Source organism: Homo sapiens, chromosome 15 (genome assembly GCF_000001405.40).
Source record: "Homo sapiens chromosome 15, GRCh38.p14 Primary Assembly".
NCBI lineage: Eukaryota > Metazoa > Chordata > Mammalia > Primates > Hominidae > Homo > Homo sapiens.
In genome coordinates this window covers 92,930,002-92,947,837 of record NC_000015.10, presented here as the reverse complement: position 1 = coordinate 92,947,837, position 17,836 = coordinate 92,930,002, and the positions used below count along the sequence as shown (strand labels likewise).

General features: G+C 39.1%; 1 protein-coding gene across 2 annotated transcripts in view, besides 1 other annotated feature; it reads right to left on the bottom strand.

Moving 5' to 3' along the window:
- Window positions 1-17,836, bottom strand: part of CHD2 (chromodomain helicase DNA binding protein 2) — a 127,673-nt gene that overhangs the window by 80,159 nt on the left and 29,678 nt on the right. For both annotated transcript variants that reach the window (NM_001271.4, NM_001042572.3), the window contains exons 6-12: window positions 10,213-10,320; window positions 8,120-8,260; window positions 5,883-6,016; window positions 4,770-4,995; window positions 3,323-3,423; window positions 1,973-2,017; window positions 1,622-1,800 (exon numbers count right to left, since the gene is read on the bottom strand). In NM_001271.4, coding sequence (NP_001262.3) covers window positions 1,622-1,800; window positions 1,973-2,017; window positions 3,323-3,423; window positions 4,770-4,995; window positions 5,883-6,016; window positions 8,120-8,260; window positions 10,213-10,320 — 934 coding nt within the window. The remainder of the gene's footprint in view (window positions 1-1,621; window positions 1,801-1,972; window positions 2,018-3,322; window positions 3,424-4,769; window positions 4,996-5,882; window positions 6,017-8,119; window positions 8,261-10,212; window positions 10,321-17,836) is intronic.
- Window positions 2,457-2,681: a silencer, noted in NCBI's record as "fragment chr15:93488387-93488611 (GRCh37/hg19 assembly coordinates)". NCBI's record gives its function as "represses an EF-1alpha promoter that drives an FKBP-Casp9 reporter gene in an ReSE screen in phorbol 12-myristate 13-acetate-treated (for megakaryocytic differentiation) K562 erythroleukemia cells {active_cell/tissue: K562(+PMA)}" and the evidence as "EXISTENCE:reporter gene assay evidence [ECO:0000049][PMID:32094911]".

Sequence of the window (17,836 nt, the reverse complement as noted above, 5' to 3'; positions counted from 1 at the left end):
TGATGTGTTCAGTTCTCTATGAGGGCGGCTGGCAGTGAATGGAATCCGACTGCTTACTCTCAACTCCAAAACCCAGCCATCCATCCACTCCTACCAAACCTACCCCATAACTGTTCTCCCATCCACTCCTTCCACGCCACTGTTACTTCCCTTGTCCTCACACTACTTCTTCATTCGTGGACTTCAATGACATCTTACTGGCTGGACCTTCTGGCTTTAATAATTACTTACTCCAGAGTCTCCTATATACTGCTATTACATGAAGCTTTCTAAATAAAACTATTTCATAATGCCACTGTACTCAGCTGTACGAATACCTAGGAGATAAAGTCAAAATACCCTTCGAGGTAGCCAAGACACACACACTTTGACCTTGATGTACTTGTCAACATCATTCCTCTTCTCCTCACCCCTGGGGTCTAGTAGTTCTCCTATTGAACTATAAGAATCTTTCTCTTGATACCTTTCACAGGAGGGCAATACCCTGGGCCCCCTCTTGTCTGTATAGCCAGCAGCACCAATCCATTATACAAGGGCCAGATGCAGTTCAACAACCACAACTTCCTCTTAAAACCCATTCAATGACCACTGGAGCTCAGAGACTTCTACATTGGTGCTTCTCTGACCACATTTTCCCTATCACACTCTTTGGCAATTAAATACTGGTTTTCACAGATAGAATTCTAGTGCCATTAACATGAATGTCAACTTCTCAGAGACGTATCACTTGTCTGATATTTCATTACTGAGGACCCAAGCACATCAGTTTCCTGATGGAATAAATTCCAAGGAAAGGATTTATTCAGCCAATCTAGCAAATAAGCCTATATATTTAATTTCTAACTTAGAATTCAAAGACACTCGCCTTTTCTATCACTTCCCGCTCTCTATTTTTTTTTTTTTTTAGAGAACGGGTATCACAATCTTCCCCAGGTTGGCCTCAAACTCCTGTGCTCAAGCAATCCTGCCGCCTCAGCCTCCCAAGTAGCTGGAACCACAGGTGTGAGCCACTGCAACTGGCTTCACTTCTCTTTTAAAGTGCCTAAATGCAACTGGGCATGGTGGCTCACGCCTGTAATCCCAGCACTTTGGGAGGCCAAGGTGGGTGGATCATTTGAGGTCAGGAGTTTGAGACCAGCCTGACCAACATGGTGAAACCCCATCTCTGCTAAAAATACAAAAAATTAGCTGGAAGTGGTGGTGCGTGCCTGTAATCCCAGCTGCTCAGGAGGCTGAGGCAGGAGAATCACTTAAACCCAGGAGGCAGAGGTTGCAGTTAGCCAAGATAGTGCCAGTGCACTCCAGCCTGGGCGACACAGCGAAACTCTGTCTCAAAATAAAATAATAAAATAAAATAAAATAAAAGTGCCTAAATCCTTTCAAGTATTCTCTCAAATATCTCTATTTCTAATTATGTAAATTGCAAGATTAAACAAGTCAGCAAAGCCATGAAATAATTCATTCTCTCCTTTTGCTTTAATGTCATATTTAAATCACCTTCTTTCACTTCAAAATGGCAATCATCATTTCATTTTGTAATATTTTCTCAGCACATATGTGTCCAATCCTCTTTATCAGTATATCTTCTCCCTGAAAAAACAAAAGCCAACCATCACCATACCTTGCATTCTCTTGTTGGGATGGTTTTTGAGTTGTTCCTACTGTGGAAGCTGTCAATGCAATTCTGGAATTTCTTTCCAATGAGGGCTTCATCTTCCCAGCTACACTCTGAATAGGGGAGTCCCATCCATTTACATAGATATTCGGGCTCATTTGAGGGTGCCGGCTTCCGACTATGAGCTATTTCATATAAAAAAAATTTATAGATTAGCAACTGTCAATTAAAAGTGAAAAATGACATTCTGTTTTATGCATAATCAATAAAACATCATGTGGCAAAACAAAATAATCTGCAAAACATACACTGTTCTGAAATGTTGAAGAACATTTATAAATAAAATTTCTTGCTTACCTGGAAAATCTGTTTGACCCAATGTAGATTTACTTGTCTTCACAGCTAAACAAATAAAAAATAAGACAGAAAAGTTATAAACACAATGAAGAATGAAAGATTTTGGGTTCTATGAATAAAATGTAAATATATTCTACTACCTCACACCTTAAAAAAGAAAAAAAAAAAATGGGATTATAGTGGCTCACGCCTGTAATCCCAGCACTTTGGGAGGCCAAGGCAGGCAGATTGCTTGAGGCCAGCAGTTCAAGACCAACCTGGCCAACATGGTGAAACTCTGTCTCTACTAAAAATATAGAAATTAGCCGGGCGTGGTGGGGGTGGGGGGTGCCTGTAATCCCAGCTACTGGGAAGGCTGAGGCAGGAGAATCACTTGAACCCGGGAGGCAGAGGTTGCAGTGAGCTGAGATCACGCCACTGCACTCCAGCCTGGGCAACAGAGCAAGACACCATCTCAAAAAAAAAAAAAAGAAGAAGAAGAAGAAGAAAAAAATTCTTTTTCTCATCTCTCTCTCAGGCTGACACTCCACTTCTCTGTTCCCCTTTGTAAGAAAACTCCCCCAACGAGTTGTTTATACTTGCTATCCCCTCTCATTTTCTCTTGAACCTACCCTAATCAGGCCGCACCCTCACCACTCCATGGATGCGTTTTGCCAGTGCCAAATTCACAGATCAAGTCTCAGTCCTAATCGTCCTTGACTGACAGCATTTCCTCTCTCCTGGCTATGTGAATCACTTGGCTTCCAGTACACCACTCTCTCTCAGCTCTCCTCCTGTCTCACCGACTGTTCTTTCTCAGTCTCCTTTGCTAGCTTCTTTCTGACTTCCAAAAGCTGAAATGCTCTCAGACTACTTCTTCTTACCACGTGATACTCTATTTCTGATGGTCCTGTTCAATCTTGGCCTTTAAATACTAAATACTGATAAATTTCCAAATTTAAATCTCCAGCCCAGACTAAAGAGTCCTAAGCTCCAGGTTCACATATGCTCCAGCCTTCACTATATTCTCCACTTAGATGACTAAGAAGTAAATCAAACTTACAAATATCAAACTAAGCTCTTGGTCTCCACTCCAATGATCAGCTCTTCCCTTCATCTTTCCACTTCGGTAAATGGTACCTCTAAACTTCTACATGTTTAGGCCACAAATCTTGAGGTCATACTTAACACCTCTTTCTCTCATCCCCCACATCCAAATTTACCAGCAAATCTTCTTAGCTTTTCCTTTAAAATAAACCTAGCACGTGTCTAGTCTCCAAAGTGCATTTTTAAAATTTACATTACTTCCAAAAGCAAAAGCCACTATTCCTCAAGTTCAAATATGGCTGAAGTGAGTTACCATGTACTTACCTATTACTCTTTCTACTATCTGATACTGTTTATTCAACTCTGAAGCCAGCTCCTGTTGGCAATTGAAATATTCTACATCTTCAGGAGAAACTTTCCCTAACCTGAATGGCAGACAGACAGAAAAAGTACACATAAACTAAAGTCTGGGGATCCACATACATCAAAGCAAAAGTCAAAGGTGGAAAAGAAAACCTATTTTTTACTCCCATCTGCCCCTTAAGTAATCTTTACTAGTAATTACGCCAGAGATTTTACAAAACAAAACAAACAAACAAAAAAAACACTTTTAGAGAACACTGAAAACCTTACACTCATAGAAGGATATACCAGTTACCTGCCTCTGATGTGTCCTGTCTAAAAAGAGACCCAAAAATAACTCTTTTATGTGATAGATTCATGTGGCAAATTCATACATCTCAACAAATCAGGATAATAAAACTGTACGCCTTTTCTTATATATATATGGGTTTTAGGATTGATTAAACATGACTTGGAAAACTAGTTATTCTTATTACCAAAACCTTTCAGATGACAACAGCAGCAACTTAATATTAGAATTATTATATTTCAGAGGATTTCAAATTTCTAACTGCTTTACAAGCCTACCTCACCATCTAAGGGGTACATATTTTCAGTTTTGAGTCAAAGAAAAAACATGTAATTTACTAAAGTAGCACATTTTGCACAGTAGTAAAACCAGAATTACTGTCCACATTCCAGACACAAAAATCTATGCACATTCCAGACACAAAAATAGGCTAATCACACCACACAGACAGGTATGTCTTCAGGCTGAGCTTGATACCATTATTACCCAGTTTAGGTTTTTGTGTGCTATAGCTCCACATATTTCCCATATACAACACCCAGACATTCAAGGCTGTAAGTAAACTAAACACACGAGGACTATCACAGTTTCAGTAGTTAACCTAATAATTTCCTTCACATCATTTCTGCAAATTGTATAAAACCAGAATTTGTTTTAAGTATATCATAACCCAGAGAGTTCCAGAATATTAACTCTCTACATCTAAGCCACCCCAGCCTAACTACAGGAAAATAACAAGGTGCTTAAGAGAATAAGCTCTGGATTCAGGGCATCAGAATTCAAAACCTGAGTCCACTTGCAGAATTGCTGTGTGCCGTATTCTCCCCATCTACAAAATGGGTAATAACAGTACAAATCTCATGCACTTATTGTGAAAACTAAAGAATGTGTGAATAACGCTCCATAAGCTAGTTAACTCCAAAAACTTGGTAGCCACATATAAAAATATAGTATCTGAAGGTCACAATCTTATAAAATAGAATTGTAAATGGCTCCATGTTTAGATGATCAAAGCAAAATCTGAGATTCTAGATAGCTGTGATCTCCATGCATTATTTTAAAACCTTCCCTTCTTTCAGGCTGCAAATACATTTCTTTAATCCATGATGGAAAATATACCATTGTTTGATTTCGTCCTCTTTTTTCTTGAAGTTCTCTAGTTTTTTTAGGCCCTTCACTTTCTGTTGCTGTAAGGATTCTTCACTCTCCCATGTGCTGTGGATGTAAGACCAACCCTTCCACTTGATGAGGTACTGGATTTCACCTTCATCCTTTTCAGTGTCAAAGTCACCACTAGGGTCGCCATTAGCTTCAATCGCATATACAGTAGTAGATGCTCCAGTGGCTGCAAAAGGATTAAGTACACTTGAAAGAGAGTATATTACACCAGATATTAAAAAGCTTCCCAAGAATGCAATTATCTGAAGACTCCCTTTGTGGATGAAGCACCAAAATACTTCAACTTGAAATAAGTACAAACTCACAAACAACACAGAACGGACTCAATCAAAAATTTCAAGTATTTTAAAAATGTAAACCACTTTTTACATATTCCTAAATTTGCAGGTGAAATCAAAGAAATCCCTTATTCAAAAACAATAAAAACAGAGCAGCAACATCCTTTTGTTTTGGTCCCTTACTAACTCGGAAAACAAATCCCTCTCTCCAAGACTAAGGATAGAACACCAAAATATCCTCCTCCAACCTCCCCTACTCGAAGTCCCCGGTTAACTTTCTTAACCTCAATCGAAGCCAGAATGAAAAAAAGAAAAAAAAAAAAAAGCCAAAAGAAAAAGCATTAAGTATTATTTTGGTATTTCCTTTACAGAAAGTTTACTTTAATGCAACTTAGTTATGAGATATCTAAATTAGATATTTAAAAATCTTCAATATTACCACAATATTTATTTAACCAGTTTGATATTTTCACAAGGAGCTTAAGAAACAAATAACCAAAGGTGGATTTGCTTAATGTTAATTAGCAGGTATCTCTGCTATATCACTGCTTTATAAAACATTGACACTTATCTATACTAGCTTAATTTAAAATCTTAAAGACATAGTGTACACATACCTTTGTCCTCAGCTCTGAAACACTGGGTCAGAAAGACTTCTACATATCACAACAAATACAGCAGTAGACTAAAATTCATCACATTAGAGTTAAAATACCTAAAATCTAAGTCTTACTAAGCATACATAAAATGTAATTTGCTCCCCAAATACACATACCTCCTTTCTTTCCCAGTCTTGAATCTAAGACCTTTTCAATAGTTTCACTATTATCTTGCTGTTCATCAACTCCTTCTCCAGTCATTTCAATGAGATCATCTGAGTCAGTCTCAAAGTCATCATCTTCTTTGTAACTGCAAGAGGAATAATGCTGAATAAATGAGAAATGATCTCTTCAGAATTAAACTGCCACACATAACCGTCACTAGAATAAGAAACCATACCCTTTTGGTTCCAAAAGCATGTTGTTTTATAGATCTGCCATTTACAGTAGGCTCAAAGCTTACTTTTTTTTCCTAAAGTGCTGATGAATGCTCCTAAACAACTGTAGGGAGTCTAACTCAATTTGAAAATAAAAATTCTATATTTATACTGATTTGTATAAGCAAGATATAGAAAACTATAAGGACACTTCTATTTTTTTCATTTTTTAGTATCAGATTATTATGTAAACAAGTAGACTACCACACAAAAAAAGAAAAACCATAATGGAAGAAAAAATTTGCTACTATTTCATCAGGCAAAAAGAGAAGCAATATTTCTAAAATTAAAAATGTCAACCCTGTATGTTGTCTCCCAGTAATAAGAATATGAAATTTAAGTATTCCCAGACTGCTGGAAGCTTCAACACAAATACTTCCTGGTTTAAAAAAAGAAACATATTGGCTAGGCGCGGAGGCTCACACCTGTAATCCCAGCACTTTGGGAGGCTGACACAGGTGAATCACGAGGTCAGGAGTTAGAAACCAGCCTGGCCAACATGGTGACCGTATCGATTAAAAATACAAAAATTAGCCGGCATGGTGGGCGCCTGTAATCCCAGCTACTCTGGAGGCTGAGGCAGCAGAATCACTTGAATCCGGGAGGCAGAGGTTGCAGTGATCCAAGATCGCGCCACTGCACTCTAGCCTGGGCAACACAGCAAGACTCCGTCTCAAAAAAAAAAATTATATATATATATTTATATATATATTTATATTTATATTTATATTTATATATATTTATATTTATATATATTTTATATATATTTATATGTATATTTATATATATATTTATATATATTTTTATATATATTTATATGTATATTTTTATATATTTATATATTTATATATATTTTTATATATTTATAATATTTATATATATTTATATTTATTTATATATTTATATATTTTTTATATTTTTTATATATATTTTTATATATGTAACTTCCTATCACATATTAACAATGAATGATTGAGTCACAAGAAAGAAAAACAATCCTGGATGTAGTACAGTTACAGTAAGAAAAAGTGCTAGGCTATACACTAGCATACTCAAAGCCCAGTCCTAGCTTTGGAATTATTAACTGGATACATTGAATAAGTTATGAATATCTCTAGGATTCATTTTCACCATCTCTATGAAGAACAAATCTGTAAAATCTAAAAAAAAAAATACTTGATTTCTATAAAGTAAACTACTAGTGTTTGCATATATCTGTTCCTTTATTTCATTTTCCTTTTTCTTTTTGAGACAGGATCTAGCTTTTTTGCCTGGAGTGGAGTGCAGTGGCGTGATCTCAACTCACTGCAACCTCCATCTCCCAGGATTCTCCCACCTCAGCCTCCCAAGTAGCTGGGACTGCAGGTGCATGCCGCCACCACACTCGGCTTTTTCTTATTTTTTGTAGAGACAGGGTCTCGCCCTGTTGTCTAGGCTGGTCTCAAACCCCTGGGCTCAAGCAATCTGCCTGCCTCGGCCTCCCAAAGTGTTGGAATTACAGGCATGAGCCACTGAGCCTGGCCTATTTCACTAATGATAATTCCTATTAATGCTTCATATCCTATTAGTACTTGATAAAATCAGATTCAAGTAGCAATACGTTAAGCTGAACCTCAGAAAAACGTCTGTGATTCAAAGAGCAATTCAGAAGTAGGAATATAATCCAAATATCTTTAATGGAAAAAAATGTTATGAAATGAAGATAATGCCACTAAGTCACCATTGGACAGGACACGAACTTGTGGTGTTTTTTAGGAATGAAGGCTTCAAATGAGCTATTGCTACTCTTTTCCTATTCCCCTTGGCTCAATACCACTCTTTTTGCAAGAAAGCTAACCAGATTTCTGAAAACAACTTCAGGACATAGGCTGTTATTTTTATCTATTAAGTGCACAACCCCGGACTTATGAGAACCAAAATCTAACCAACTACTTTATCACATCACACCAGTGAAACACTTCTGGGGTACAACTTACCTAACGTTTTTAGCCGCTCTTCGACGAGTCTGCCTTTTGGGAGCTTCGTCATCATCATCATCCTCATCAGAAGAATCTTGCTTTTTTCTCTTTCCACGCTGAGTCTTCGGCTGCTTTTTAACACGAGGTTTGGGCACTGTTCTAAAATGAGAAGAGAAACAAAAGGCTAAGTCTTCACTTTATCATTTGGTGTCTACTTTATATAACAGTATTTCCCAGAGCAGTGGTTCATACATCAGAATGTAACATTTCACTTGGGGAATGTTAAACATGCATATTCTTGGGCCCTACTCCCTGAAATTCTAATTCACTAGAAATCTGGATTTCCAACAGGAAGGTCATTCTAATGCTGATAATCCTCAATCATTTATGGGAAAGAACGTGAATGTTTCACAAATGTTCATCAGGATTACCTGATATAAAAACACATACACAGCATGTTGTTCATGATAGTATCTCTTTGGTGGGCAAACTGGAAATAGCTATCAAACTATTTTACTTGTAGGAATTAACAGTTTTACTTGTAGGAATTAATCCTATTGATATACACCTAAACAGGCATAATAAAGTATTCACTATAGCATTATTTGCAACAACAAAACATTAAGAAAACTCTAAATATTCTTCAACTGGAAACTAAACAGTACCATGTACTCATAGAAAAAAAAAAAGAGTTTTTTGTATACTAATACGAAAGGATTTCCAGGATAAAGAAACCTACAGAACAAGCAGCAGAGGATGCTATTATCTGTGTGAAGAAAGTAAAGCACAAGAAGTAACTATACATAAGTTTTTACTGTATGTGTATAAAATATACCTGGAATACTACCTGAGAGACTGTGTGCCCTATCACAGAATTAACTTGGACAGACCAGGGAGATGGCCAGGATTGAAAGCCACAGTCTAGAAGCTCACCTAAGGAAATCCCCAAATATTCCATCAGTGATAAAAAGGTGAAAGAAGTCAGAGAGGGAGAGAAATGGATACTCATGATCACATTTATTATCTCTTTCTCTCATACCTCCCATACCTTTCTCATAACCAAACCTAAACAGATGATCAACGATGTAATAAATAATGAGCAAAATTCTAAAAGACAGAACTGGCGTGACAGTTCTGAGATAAACTTATTAAGCTGAGATAAAATAAGATAAAATTCAGTTGACAAATTCCCCTGCTGGTGTTGGGGGGTAAGTACAATGTCCTAGGCCAGAGGTTGGCAAACTTTTTCTGTAAATGGCCAGAGAGTAAATATTTTAGGCTCTGCCAGCCAAGAGGCAAAATGGGGACCAATGTATAGGTCCTTACATAATGAAAGAAAATAAATTTTCACAAATTTTTTTAAATAATTCAAAATGAAATAATCAGGTACATTTACTGCAATATATATCTACTAATGAGAACAGAATTGTTTTTGAGGGGATAACATTTCACTTAATTGGAGTTCAAATTTAGTGCTCTCTATCCTTAAACTGTAAATTAGAAATGTTCATCTATAAAAACTATTCTTAGCTCACAGGCCATATGAAAATAGGTGGTGGATGAAATTTGGCCCAAAGGGCATAGTTTGCTGAGTCCATTCTAAGCAATACTACAAGGAGGTAATTTTCCCTGGGGCCTGTCTTCTGACTCCCTTTTCCTGTCATCACTATCTTAGGCTGCCATCTGTCTTATCAAAAATTAGCATAATTTGCTGCTATTTCAGCCTACCTCCTTCTCTACACAATCAGATTATTTGTTTAATGTTATATAGATTTTATGAACAAGGTAATAAACCACTCAAGTATGCTTTAAGCCAGGCAAACAGTGTTTTAAACAATTTGTTCTCCCAAAAAGAGACTGTACCCTGGCCAAACATATAAGGAGTTTTACTAAAAGCGGAAGACATGTTTGCCCCACGATAGCCAGTCTGCGAAGAAAGAAGCAGTAAGACCTGCAATGTAGGCTGGCTGAAAGTGAACCACAGATATCTAAAACGCAGAATCAAAACACAATGCATCTCATTAAAGCTCTCATTTCAGCACGACATTATCCTTCCCAATCTACAGCAGATTAAGCTCATCCCAAGTAGAGATCTTAAGCAAACAGTGCACCTTCTGGGGACAGGTCTTCTGGCTTTTACTTTTTTTTGTTCTGGCTCACTCTCTGCACTGGTGCCTTGTTCCTGTTCATCTTCTGAGGGTTCCTGTTTCCATTTTTCTCTGTGATCAAAAGCAAAACAAAGTAATTTTTTTCTAAAAGAATCCTTCAAGATAAATAATCCGACAAAACCAATTTCAATTTTACTATCCAAAGGGCAGAACATGCACATTTTAGACATGCTAAAAGAGATTCTAGCTCCATTTAAACTTGAATTGTGATCCTTCCTGGACTACATAATATCGATTCCTATTTTATCTCCAGTAACAAAAATAAATAAAAATGGATATATATGTACTTTTTTCATTTACTACTCTTATTGACAAGATTGAAACCATAACATGCACAAGATCAGTGCTTCCAAAATTTTAAAATGTTATCAGGACCACCTAAAGGGCTTGTTAAAAAAGATTTCTGGGCCAAGTGAGATGGTCCATGCCTGTAATCTCAGCACTTTGGGAGGCCAAGGTGGGAGTTTCACTTGAGTCCAGGAGCTCAAGACCAAGCTGAGCAATACAAGACACCTCTCCAGAAAAATTAAAGTTAAAATTTTAAAATTGAGCCAGGCCTGGTGGAGCATGTCTACAGTCCTAGTTACTAAGGAGGCTGAGGAGGCGGAAGGATCACTTGAACCCAGGAGTTTGAGGTTGCAGTCAGCTGTGATTTTGCCACTGTACTCCACCCTAGGCGGTTAAGAGTGAAACCCTGCCCCTATCTGCCCCTCCTCCATCAAAAAAAAAAAGATTTCTGGGCCCTAGTCAGAGCTCCTGATGCAGTAGGTCTCAGTTGAGGCCTAAAAAATATGAATTTCAACAAATTCAAGTAATGCTGATACTGGGTAGAAACTCTGAGAACCACTATACTAGATATTTTAAGTCTCTAGAATACATTTAAGGAAACAGTCCCTAAAATTATTTTTCAACAATAAACCTATCATATAACTAATCTGTTCAGCTAAAGATGTAGTTTTTAATAATTATTAGATACAGTAGATGTTCCTTTGCTCCTTGAATTCTTAGAAGGCTTGAAAGAGCCATAACCTACAGGCGTCCTACTATCCCAAACAGTTTTAGTTTACTTGAAAATCCAACAAGATATTGCAGGGACCCCACTCATTTCTCACCTACAGAGAAGAGGGAAGAAACATGTAATAGCTGCTAGGCATGAAATACCTAGGAAAAAACTGACAGGCAAGTGCCTGGGGCTTCTCTGTAAATCAAACAATTACCAATTTGCCTATGGGTCACTTTATAGGGAATGAGGTCATACTAAAGACAACAGCTACAACAAGACAAATGTCAAATCAATATTCTTCATGGGAGAACAGGTCAAGTAATGGTGAAAGCTTATTGAAAGGAGGTGGCTGATGTGCAGATTGAGAACCTTCCTAAAAGCTACAACGGTCACCCTAAACCTGAATTGGTGGAGACCTTAGGGGGAAAAAACAACAATTCAGGCCTTCCACGGACGGTCAGTGGAGCAATTTTATGAATATTATTCAACTTCTACTAGCACTGCGTGTTTCCATATGCATTTCCCCAGTAGATGGGTCCTTGTACACCAAGACTTTTTGTTCGTCTTTGTACCAGAGTTTAGCCAAAGTCAGGCAAATGGAGATGTTTCTTTGTTAGGTTAAAAAAAAAAAAATCAATGAAAGAATGCGCAATTAGTCTATCAGTCAGACGGGTAGGGGTGCTTCTGGTAAGACAGAAAGGCCTGTTAGTATTGCCTAATATCCTTCAGTCTCTTTAAAACAAAGACCTTCGTATATACACTCTGGACACTGGTCTAATTCTGCTTCCCCGGAGCATAGTACAATAAATGTTTGCTAAGAATCCAAGGAATATAAGGTGATCACCAGGAAGGAAGAAAGGAAGATGTTTACAGTAAGTGGGAGACCAGCATGAGTCTGCAGTCTCCCTCAGACCAAGTCCACAACAGTTTACCCCTCAGAGGGGGCTTACACAGTCAAACTGGAGAGAAGTAGAAGCATGCTTGAAGGAATATGAACAGCTAGTCCTTCAGATAAGAAAGATTCACCAATAAATTCTAATTACCATATCTCCCCCAGGAATTGAGAACCTAAACCAGGGCCACCAATGAGGTCCACTTCTATAAGTATAGCAGACAGCAAACACAGAGAATGGATGTGTTGAGGCTAGAGTTTTCCAGTTAGATTACAGATTTACAGACTTATGAACAACCAGGAGGACTTAGAATCTCCCAATATAAGAATGCAAAAAAGGTCGGGCGCGGTGGCTCACGCCTGTAATCCCAGCACTTTGGGAGGCCGAGGCGGGCGGATCACGAGGTCAGTAGATTGAGACCATCCTGGCTAACGTGGTGAAACCCCGTATCTACTAAAAATACAAAACAATTAGCCAGGCGTGGTGGCGGGCGCCCGTAGTCCCAGCTACTCTGGAGGCTGAGGCAGGAGAATGGCGTGAACCCGGGAGGTGGAGCTTACAGTGGGCCGAGATCGGGCCACTGCACTCCAGCCTAGGTGACAAAGCGAGACTCTGTTCTCAAAAAAAAAAAAAAGAAAGAAAGAAAGAAAAAAAAAACTTAGCAAATCAACTAGTCCAAAGTTCTCCTCCCAGAGAAGGAAACTGAAGTGCAGTGAGGAAATGAGTTGCTTGGCCATATCACCAACCCTCAGCCCTGCTACTTTCAATCATAACTCACTGAGGACCAAAGAATCAGGAAACATTAAAGCCAGGCTTACACGTCCTGGGAGTATTTGAAAAACTCAAGGTTTAAAAGGCCTAAGTGTGTGTGTATGTATATTTGAAATTGGTTGGATTCTTTCACGTTTTCTTTTCATTTTCAAGAACGAGAAAAAAGATAGTAAGGACCAGCAATACTAAGTCACTGTGAAGAATGGGTGAAGTGAAAAAAGTGACTGAGCTGTTACAAAGAAATTACTTCCCAACCCTACAGATGTATAAGGCTCTCCCACATGTGAAACTGCTGTCCTCTCCTACATTACTGGCCTCTTATAAAATGCAAATCTTATCAAGACTCCACCACTAAGCCATACATTGTAAGTCAGTCTACAATAAAGAATAGTTTAAGATATGAGATCGTGAGCAAAAAATGTCTATCAAAGGAAACTTACAATATCCAGCTTTAGAGGCCATTAACAGAGTCCCCCCTAGATACTGTAAAAACACATAATTCAACTAAATTTTTCCCGAAATTTTGAGAACTAGGGAGAAAAATACCAAGATTTAGCCAAGAGGCCCCAAGGCAATGTAAATAGACATGGAAAAAGTCAAAATGCAATTTAAATGTGTATAGTTTTCTTCCTTTATTGGGAAAAGGTGGTTGGCTAGACACAAATCCTAAGACAGACAAATCAAATCTAATCAACTGTAAAGTAGGAAATGAACAAAAGCTACTTTTAAATATAATGAGCCAGAACTTTGACCAAGAGTTGGTAAGGCTTGCTATTAACTGTCTGTAAAAAAGAAAACTCCTTTTTCCTCCACTTAGAAGACATCTGGAAGAGGGAAGTAGCTACTTTTGTTTCCTCAGTCTTCAGTAGATTTCCCCAAGAAAGCATGCTTTTGAAAAAAAAATTCCAATGATCAACAGAAATCTGAGGCTAATAGGGATTCCCTTCCACTGTGTTACAGGTATGTGACAATCTCCAATTCAAAACACTGGAAAAGGGCCGGGCACAGTGGCTCATGCCTGTAATCCCAACACTTTGGGAGGCCATGGTGGGAGGATGGCTTGAACCAAGGAGTTCAAGGCCAGCCTGGGCATCAGAGTGAGACCCAGCCTTTACAAAAAATTAAGAAATTAGCTTGGTGTGGTGGTGTGCGCCTGCAGTCCCAACTACTCAGGAGGCTAAGGTGGGAGAATCACTTGAGCCCAGGAGGTCAAAGCTGCAGTGAGCTGTGAATGTGCTACTGCACTGCACTCCCACCTGGTAAGAATAAAACGCCGTCTCAAAAACAAAAACAAAACAAAACCACCAGGACCAGAAGTCAACAAAAATCTTATACAACACTGCGCAATTTGGATAACATTAAGAGGTAATGCATGAAAAAAAGAGTTTAATCAAAACAGCATCTGAGTTGGTTAAAAAAAGTTCAATGTTTTGTTTGTTTGTATGACTCTAAGTCAGAGATTACAATCTCAAATACTCACAGGGGCCAGATGAGAACTGCAAACAAGGCAAAATGGAGAACTCCTGGTCCATCACTGTTACATAAGCCAGCATTACCAAATTTTCTCAAAAGAAGCTAAAAACACAGATTGTTATGCACTCTCAATTAAATGATGCTAACTAATTTAAAAATATTTTAAATATTGTGCAGGTCCATTGTGCTGTATAACTTCTTCTAAGCTTTAAAAGTATGAATACAGCTGGATGTGGTTGTACGTGCCTACAGTCCCAGCTACTGGGGAGACTGAAGCAAGAGGATCACTTGAGCTCAGGAGTTCAAGGTTGCAGTGAGCTATGGCCACACATGTGCACCAATAGAGGAAGACCCTGTCTCTTTAACTTAAAAAAAAAAAAAAAAAGGGGCCGGGCGCGGTGGCTCATCTTATAAGCCCAGCACTTAGGGAGGCTGAGGCGGGTGGATCACCTGAGGTCAGGAGTTCAAGACCAGCCTGGGCAACATGGTGAAACCCCATGTCTATTAAAAATACAAAAATCAGCTGGGCACAGTGGCGCATGCCTGTAATCCCAGCTACTCAGGAGGATGAGGCAGGAGAATCACTTGAGTCACAGTGAGCTGAGATTGCGCCATCGTACTCCAGCCTGGGCGACAGAGCGAGAGTCCATCCCAAAAAATAAAAACCTAATACAAATCGTGACGGGGTAATTGGTCTCTTCGTAATTCTGCAAAGAACACAGTCCCTTGCAAGACTGCATTCTTCAAAAACATCAATGTCCTAAAAGCAAAAGAAGGCTGTGAAAGTGCTCCCAATTAAAGAAATCAGACATGTCCTTTGTAAGGACATGGATGAAGCTAGAAACCATCATTCTGAGCAAACTATCGCAAGGACAGAAAACCAAACACCGCACGTTCTCACTCATAGGTGGGAATTGAACAATGAGAACACTTGGACACAGGGTGGGGAACATCACACACTGTGGCCTGTCATGGGGTGGGGGGGAGGGGGAAGGGTCAGCATTAGGAGATATACCTAATGTAAATGACGAGTTAACGGGTGCAGCACACCAACATGACACATGTATACATATGTAACAAACCTGCACATTGTGCACATACACCCTAGAACTTAAAGTACAATTAAAAAAAAAAAAAAAGATGTGCAACTAATTGTATGTAACTGACCCTAAACTAGATCCTGTAGTAGAGATGGAAAAATATTATGAAAGACTTTATTGGGTTAATTGACAAAACTGAAATATGAATCAGACAAAAGTACATCAGCAGCCAGGTGCGGTGGCTCAAGCCTGCAATCCCAGCACTCTGGGAGGCCAAGACAGGCTGATAACGAGGTCAAGAGACTGAGACCATCCTGGCCAACATGGTGAAACCCCGTCTCTATTAAAAATAGAAAAAATTAGCTGGACGTGGTGGCGCACGCCTGTAGTCCCAGCTACTCGGGAGGCTAAGGCAGGAGAATTGCTTGAACCCCGGAGGCGGAGGCTGCAGTGAGCCGAGATTGCGCCACTGTACCCCAGCCTGGCGACAAAGCCAGACTGCGTCTCAAAAAAAAAAAAAAAAAAGTACGTCAGCAATGTTTTAAATCTAAGTTGAATCTGTACTGTACTGTGCTTATAAAAGAGAAAATCCTTATTTTTAAGAAATACACCTTACATATTTAAGGTAAAGGGATAAAAGGTAAAATTTTATGAATTTTAGTCTCAAATAGTTCATAAAAAACATTATGTTTGTATATATATAAATATACACAGGCTGGGTGCAGTGGCTCACGTATGCTAATCCCAACACTTTTGGAGAGCAAGGTGAGAGGATAACTTGAGGCCAGGAGTTTGAGAACAGCCAGGGCAACGTAGTGAGACCTCTATGTCTACAAAAATACAAAATCAGGCATGGTGGTGCACGCCTGTCGTCCCAGCTACTTGGGAGGCTGAGGTAGGAGGATCACTTGAGCTCAGGAGATTGAGGCTGCAGAGAGCCAAGGTTGCACCACTGCACTCTAGCCTAGGTGACAGAGCAAGACCCTCTCTCTTAAATAAACAGCACCCATAATAATAAAGCAAATGGAGGAAAAATGGTAATCTGGGTAAAGTATATAAGGTGTCCTTTGTACTGCACTTTTATTCTTGCAACTTTCCTAAAGTTTGGAATTAATTTTTTTAAACCAATTTTACAAAATGGTCCCTTTTTAAAAACTCTAAAATGTGTGAATAAAATCTGCAGGGTTTCAGAAAAGCATTTCTTTGTGCCAATATTTCAAACCTTTCACTCTCTGAGTGAGTCTGAATTCTGAAATGCATGTGACCACACATTAGGTTATGTTACACTTGCTCAGCTTGGATCACAGAAGGCTCCTAAAGTGCCTTGCAACTTGAGTGTCAGCAGCTACAAGACCTCCCCTAATTAATCTTTCAGGAATCTCAACTGGTGACTCAGGAGAAGAGCTCTCTGTAAATCCACAATACTCACCAGCTGGCCAGAGAATAGCAGAAACGAAGGCTAGCCCAGTGCCCAAACACAGGAACATGAGGGGAACTATCTCAGCCCAAGGCAGTTCCTATGAACAGCCCTAGGGTAGGGAAGCAATATGAAAAAGAAGACAGATCCCACTCTGCAAGGAACTAAGAGGTTCTACTCAGGAAAAGAAAGGTCCATATATGCTACTGAAGGTTGCCAACTTTGGGGAATTCTTAAGACTGATAAGTGGCGGGGCACAGTGGCTCACACCTGTAATCCTAGGAGACCGAGGCTGGAGGACTGCTTGAGCTCAGGAGGTTGAAACCAGCCTGAGAAACATAGTGAGACCCCATCTATACAATAAATTTTTAAAAACTTAGCTGGGCATGATAGCACATGCCTGTAGTCCCAGCTACTCGAGTGGCTTAGGTGGGTCAATTAAGTCCAGCAAGCCAAGGCTGCAGTGAGCTGAGATCAAGCCACTGCACTCCAGCCTGAGCAACAGAGTGAGACCCTGTCTCAAAACAAAACAAAACAAAAAGGCTGACAAGACTATGAGCCAGTAACCAGAGTAAGCGCAATGTATTATACAGTGACTGAAAAAAACGCTGGCTTCTGCACACACAAATAAGGCCATTAAAATAGGAAGTCAAGAATTCAAGCATAGCACCATTTAACTTGCAGTCAAGAGACCAAAGGAATGTAGCCAGATGGTGAAGTAATGATTACATGCATGGATTTCCCAGGGTGTAATCAAGGTGGACATTTCAGGAAAGATACTCAAAAGGCCATTAGACCAGTAAGCAGATAATAGTCTCCCAAGCAGACCAGGAGACTGGGGCAGAACAAAAGCCTTCTAAGATGCCAAGTGCAGGTTTGCTTACAGTTACTATTTCTCCAAAACACAAATGAAAACTGAATGCGCTCTAGCAGGGCAAAATTAAGTACTTTTCTGTAAGGCTCTGTAATA